The sequence below is a fragment of the Homo sapiens genome, chromosome 19 (assembly GCF_000001405.40).
Source record: "Homo sapiens chromosome 19, GRCh38.p14 Primary Assembly".
Lineage (NCBI taxonomy): Eukaryota > Metazoa > Chordata > Mammalia > Primates > Hominidae > Homo > Homo sapiens.
Window position 1 is genome coordinate 54321152 of NC_000019.10, and position 7021 is coordinate 54328172.

At 44.0% G+C, this 7021-nt stretch overlaps 1 annotated feature.

The window, feature by feature from the left end:
* Positions 4026-4320: a silencer, noted in NCBI's record as "tiled region #7396; HepG2 Repressive non-DNase unmatched - State 13:Ctcf". NCBI's record gives its function as "represses a minimal TATA promoter and a strong SV40 promoter by Sharpr-MPRA in HepG2 cells {active_cell/tissue: HepG2}" and the evidence as "EXISTENCE:reporter gene assay evidence [ECO:0000049][PMID:27701403]".

Genomic DNA, 7021 nt, shown 5'->3' on the forward strand with positions numbered 1-7021 from the left:
CTCCATTTAGAGGAGATGTTGGAGTTTGATTCTATTTTCATCAGAGGAATCTGTAGACTGAAAAATACAATTGAGTGTTTTCACTGTACCCGGTTTCATGCGCTTCCGTGTGAAGAGACCACTAAACAGGCTTTGTGTGAGCAGTAAAGCTTTTAATCACCTGGGTGCAGGTGGGCTGAGTCCAAAAAGAGAGTCATCGAAGGGAGATAGGGGTGGGGCCATTTTATAGGATTTGGGTAGGTAAAGGAAAAAGAGGGGTTGTTCTCTGGTGGGCAGGTGTGGGGGTCACAAGGTGCTCCGTAGAGGAGCTTTTGAGCCAGGATGAGCCAGGAGAAGGAATTTCACAAGATAATGTCATCAGTTAAGGCAGGAACAAGCCATTTTCACTTCTTTTGTGGTGGAATGTCATCAGTTAAGGCAGGAACCAGCCATCTGGATGTGTATGTGCAGGTCACAGGGGATATGATGGCTTAGCTTGGGCTCAGAGGCCTGACACCCAGAAAATGCCTTTTTCTCACGAAACTCATTATTCCAGGTGAATACAAACATTAAGAACAAACTTGTACAATTACAAAGCTATTTATTCCAAAATTATGATTTGTAAAACTACAATGACTTGAACCCACTTAATTTCAATCAAAGAAAGACTCAATAAATTCCTGGGCCTCCCCACAGTGGAGTCCTGGGCAGCTGTGGGTGAGATGAATGAGTTATCTTGAAGGCTGACCTTCCAAGACGTGTAGTTGTGTAGTTGGGGTGGCAGGGAGAAAAGAAAAAGAAAGATTCAGGACGTTATCAACAGTTAACTTTATTTTACTCAGAACCAGAGAAAAATGGTATAGTGTTATGTCATTGTGTGTGTATTTTGTAATCTATTTTTTAAAATGAAAGATTAATCAATACCTTTAAAAGTGGGTAGTTGAGAGAGAGAGAGAAAACAGTGCAGAGGAGACAGAATAAAGCTAGACTGACATCATTGTGTCTTGTTTCTTGTTTTGGTATAGAAATATAAACATACCTTTGGGAGGCTGAGGTGGGCGAATCGCAAGATCAGGAGTTCAAGACCAGCCTGGCCAACATGGTGAAACCCCACCTCTACTGAAAATAAAAAGATTAGCTGGGCATGGTGGCACACTCCTGTCATCCCAGCTACTCGGGAGGCTCTGACAGGAGAATTGCTTGAACCTGGGAGGTGGAGATTGCAGTGAGCTGAGACTGTGCCACTGCATTTGTAGGGACCAGCCCCACAGGGTCGGTGGGTCTCTCCCTGTGTGTGGTGACGATAGAGTGTAGAAATAAAGACACAAGACAAAGAGATAAAAGAAAAGGCAGCTGCGCCCGGGGGACCACTACCACCAATGCGCGGAGACCGGTAGTGGCCCCGAATGTTGGGCTGCGCTGTTATTTATTGGATACAAGGCAGAAGGGGCAGGGTAAAGAGTGTGAGTCACCTCCAATGATAGGTAAGGTCACGTGGGTCACGTGTCCACTGGACAGGGGGCCCTTCCCTGCCTGGCAGCCGAGGCAGAGAGGGAGAGGAGACAGAGAGAAAGACAGCTTACGCCATTATTTCTGCATATCAGGGACTATTAGTACTTTCACTAATTTACTACTGCTATCTAGAAGGCAGAGCCAGGTGTACAGGATGGAACATGAAGGCGGACTAGGAGCGTGACCACCGAAGCACAGCATCACAGGGAGACGGTTAGGCCTCCGGATAACTGCGGGCGAGCCTGACTGATGTCAGGCCCTCCACAAGAGGTGGAGGAGCAGAGTCTTCTCTAAACTCCCCCGGGGAAAGGGAGACTCCCTTCCCCAGTCTGCTAAGTAGCGGGTGTTGTTCCTTGCCACTTACGCTACCGCTAGACCACGGTCCGCTTGGCAACGGACGTCTTCCCAGACGCTGGCGTCACCGCTAGACCAAGGAGCCCTCTGGTGGCCCTGTCCGGGCATGACAGAGGGCTCGCACTCTTGTCTTCTGGTCACTTCTCACTGTGTCCCCTCAGCTCCTATCTCTGTATGGCCTGGCTTTTCCTAGGTTATGATTACAGAGGGAGGATTATTATAATATTGGGATAAAGGGTAACTGCTACAAACAAATGATTAATGATATTCATATATAATCATAACTAAGATCTATATCTGGTATAACTATTCTTGTTTTATATTTTATTATACTGGAACAGCTCGTGTCCTCTGTCTCTTGCCTCGGCACCTGGGTGGCTTGCCACCCACAGCATTCTAGCCTGGGCGACGAGCAAGACTCCGTTTAAAAATATATATATATACATATATAAACATATTCCTGAATGTCTATACTATAAAATATTTTTAAATATAACTTATAAATCTAAAGATAATACCTTAAAAAAGGAAATAGAATTGAGTTCCTATCAAATTAGGGCATTACTAAACAAGGAAGAATTATTTGTACTAGAATGTAAGCAAAATTACTTGACCATATATTTTATAATGCATATATTATTTATCATATTATATAATAAATGTATACTTTTAAATCAAATTATATATTATGTAGTGACATATAGTTAATATTATTATATAATTTTGACTATATATAGTAAAACATAAGTGAATACACCCTCAAAAATGTTTAATTCTTAAAATATGTATGGTCAAAAATTCTAAATTTCATCCTAGAGAAATAGCTGACTCCACATTCGGAGAGAAAATACAGGAGATGAAGTCAGAACTTCTTATCATGCAAGAAAGCAAAGACATCACCACATACCATCAGATTCATGTTACCTGAACATAAAGTCTATCATGAAAAGTTCCCAATGGCAAAATGTGGAATATTTATAGAATCAAATAATATAGGTAGTGTATTAAAACTAATGAATATGTTCAAAGCCTATCAGTTTACTACTGTTAAAAACAAAATTAAAAAACAAAAAACCCCTCAAATATGAGGAATGGGAAAAGAACAAAATCTCCACATCAAAAACGTGGAAATGAAGGCAAGAAGCAAGATCTCTTTTGTTTATCTGAAGTGTTACACAGGAAACATTCTTTTCTGTAGAATGTTTCTACATAATAATAAGTATAGTAATAGCTATAGTAATGTTTTTGCCTAAGAATAGCTGTAGAGTTTTTGCATAATAATAGTTAACCCTGCAAAGCTTGGATAACCTGTGCGTTGAGTATACAAGCAATAAACATCAATGGCTGCCAAAACCCTTAGGCTGAAGGTTGATAGTGAATATAATAACGAGTGGATCCTGCTGATAGTACAGCCATCAGTACAGAATTGCAAGGTGGAGAATGCAAGACACAAGCAAATGAGCCATTGTGTCTCACTTCTGACATTTTCTAAGCATCTTTTTCACCATACCCTCAAATCTAGACCGTTATCTGGCTGGGCGTCTCTATGTTTCTTGGATTTGTGTGTCAAACTCTCTAGCGAGTTTAGGAAAATATTCATGGACTATATCCTCAAATATATTTTCCAAGTTGCTTATTCTCTCTTCCCCTTTCAGGAATGCTGACAAGTCATACATTTGGTGTCTTTAGATAATATCATATTTCTCAGAGATTTTGTTCACTTTTAAAAATATTTTTTCCTTATATTTGACTGATTTGATTCAAACAAGTCTTCAAGCTTTGAAATTCTTTTCCTCAGCTTGGTCTATTCTGCTGTTAATGCTTCTCATCGTATTATGAAATTCGTGTCATGAATTTTTCAGCTCGAGAAGTTCAGTTTGGGTGTTTCTTAAAATTTAATCGTTCATGTCATTAATCATTTTACTGGATTGCTTGGCTTCCTTGGATTGAATTTCAACTTTGCTCTTGATTTGAATGACCTTCCTTGCCATCCAGATTCCAAATTCTACGTTTGTCATTTCAGACAATTCATACTGATTAAGAACAATTTCTGGGGAGCTCGTGGACTGGTTTGGAGATAATAGGAGTTATTTCCCTGATTTTTTTTCTCATCTGGGAGGGTTGCTATTCCTTTCATTGCAAGGGTATAAATTGAGTATAGTCTGTTGGCTTTATTTCTGGAAGTTTTCAGGGGACTAAGGCTCTGTACAGGGTCTTTGCTGAATTCTTGCTCTTGGTTTTCCAGGCGGTAGAATTTAGTAAAGTGATTTTTGGTGTTGTAGTGTGGCTGTAATCCAGTAGATGGCGCTTGAGAGCAATAGGCAATAGACAGGCTCTTACTCCACTGCGTGGTGCCTTTGTTTATCTTTGTTCTTGACCTTGATACTTTTGAAAAGGTCAGAGCAGTTTTTTTGTTTTTGTTTTTTGAGACAGGGTCTCACTTTGTCACCCAGGGTGGAGTGCAGTGGCACGATCTTGGATCACTGCAGCCTCAACCTTCCCAGGCTCAGGTAGGTGACAGAGCAGGCAAGTTAACTTAAGGCCTCCTCCTTGGCAATCTGGTCTCAAGTAGGGGACAGGTCCCCACAGACAGAACTGAGGGGCAAGTGTGGCATGGGCTCCAGACCCCGAGCACTGGAATTAGACACCTCTCCTTTGCAGAAAGGTTTAGCCTTTCCTCAAGCGGTTCTGCAAAGGAGAGGTGTAGCTGGGGTGGCGTGGGCAATGGTGGTGGCAGAGTTTGTGTGAAACTTGTCTCTTCCCCAATCACTGTCACTTGTTTCAGGAGACGTTGTAATGTGCTGTATGGTTTGACCTCCAGGCCAGTAGGTGGCAATTGCTGGTGAGAGCCAGTTGTAGCGCTGGCAGTGGGCTTTATGCTTGACCTTTGTTAACCAGAAGCATTCAGGTATCCTAAGTGATGGGTTGGGTTGTGGAAAACTCAGTGGTCTTGATCAGTACTCTGCCTCCAACGCAGGGAAATGAAGGTAAGTGTGGCTGGTCCAGGCAAGCCTGTACTCAGGCCCAATGCTAGGCACAGGCTCCGTCCCCACAGAGGCTACATGTGTGGTTCTCAGGTCCCTGGAGAGACACTCAAGCACTGAGTAGGGCAATGACTATTATGCCAAAGTTACAGCAGAGTTCCCCAGAGGGGCACGTTGGGTTCCAAGCCTAGAAAATGACAGTGGGACTCACTTTAATCTAATGCTCCCAACCCAGCAGAGCTCCTCCCTGTGGCCCAATGCTGGAAGCAATTTCAGACCGTCAAATCACATGCGGTTTGATGTCAGACCACTCAACTACCCCAGGCCACAGATCTTGCCTCCTGGGTAAAATCCATGCCTCTCAGGCTACAACTTTTCCCCCTCGGTTCTGTCAAAGAGAGGTGTCCAACGCCAGTGCTTGGTGTCTGGAGCCCATGCCACAATTGCCTCTCAGTTCTGTCCATGGGGACCTGTCTTCTACTTGAGCCCAGATTGTCAATCTCTGGCCCAAGACTCTCCGAAGTAGTGACCCTCACCCATGTTTGATGTCAAGTTCTTTTTTTTTTTTTTGAGACGGAGTCTCGCTCTGTCGCCCAGGCTGGAGTGCAGTGGCGTGATCTCAGCTCACTGCAAGCTTCGCCTCCCAGGTTCGTGCCATTCTCCTGCCTCAGCCTCCCGAGTAGCTGGGACTACAGGCACCCACCACCGTGCCCGGCTAATTTTTTGTATTTTTAGTAGAGACGGGGTTTCACCGTGTTAGCCAGGATGGTCTTGAACTCCTGACCTCGTGATCCGCCTGCCTCGGCCTCCCAAAGTGCTGGGATTACAAGCATGAGCCACCACGCCCAGCTAATTTTTTGTATTTTTAGTAGAGACGGGGTTTCACCGTGTTAGTCAGGATGGTCTCGATCTCCTGACCTCGTGATCCGCCTGCCTCGGCCTCCCAAAGTGCTGGGATTACAGGCGTGAGCCACCGCGCCGGGCCGATGTCAAGTTCTTGCACTGCCCACTAAGGGTTAGGATCAGGAATGGCCTCTTTCTATCAGCATCCAGGTCTGGGAGCACACATGGAGCACTTCCCTGGGCCCTTCCTTTTCACAGTCCTCCCGCTGTTCCCTAAGTCAGATCCAGGGCTTAGGTCGGTCAAAGAGCTCCCCAGTGGCCTGGATTGCCTGGCTCCCCACTGAGAATGGGTATCATGTGGTCTCATAACTTCCCTCTCAGGCACTGGAAGTTCACTCATGGTTTTCTGCCAGGTCTTGCTGCATGAGCTGCTGCCTGCCTTCTTTTTAGCAGTATCTGAGATTTCCTTCACTTTCATATTCAACTCCTGTATTAGTCCATTTTCAGGCTGCTGATAAAGACATACCCGAGACCAGGTAATTTATAAGAAAAAGAGATTTAATTGACTCACAGTTCCACATGGCTGCAGAGGCCTCACAATCATGGTGGAAGGTGAAAGCAACATCTCACGTGGTGGCAGGTACAGAGGAAATGAGAGCCAAGCAAAAGGGGAAACCCCTTATAAAATCATCAGCTCTTCTGAGACTTATTCACGACCACAAGAACAGAATGGGAGAAACTGCCTCCATGATTCAGTTATCTCCCACCGGCTCCCACAGCACGTGGGAATTATGGGAGCTACAATTCAAGATGAGATTTGGGTGGGGACACAGCCAAACCATATCACCTCCCATGTTCTTTCTTGGATACAAGAATGCAGAATGAATCTCTACACACCATTTTGGTATTTTCACCATCTCGGAAGACATAACAGTGTATTATATCCTTAAAAATCACTATAAAAGTAGATTTTAAGGGTTCTTACCACACAAAAATTAGAAATATGGAAAGTAATGTATATGTTAATTAGATTGATTTGCCCAACAGACAAGTATATATATTTCAAAACTACATACTTTACACAATAAGTATATACAATTTAGGAATTTTTCTTTTTTCTTTTTTTTTTTGATGGAGTCTCACTCTGTCACCAAGCTGGAGTGCACTGGTGCGATCTCGGCTCACTGCAATCTCCGCCTCCTGGGTTCAAGCGATTCCCCTGCCTCAGCCTCCCGAGTAGCTGGGACTACAGGCGTGCACCACCACGCCCGGCTAATTTTTTGTATTTTAGTAGAGATGGGGTTTCACCATGTTGGCCAGGATGGTCTCGATCTCCTGACCTTGTGATC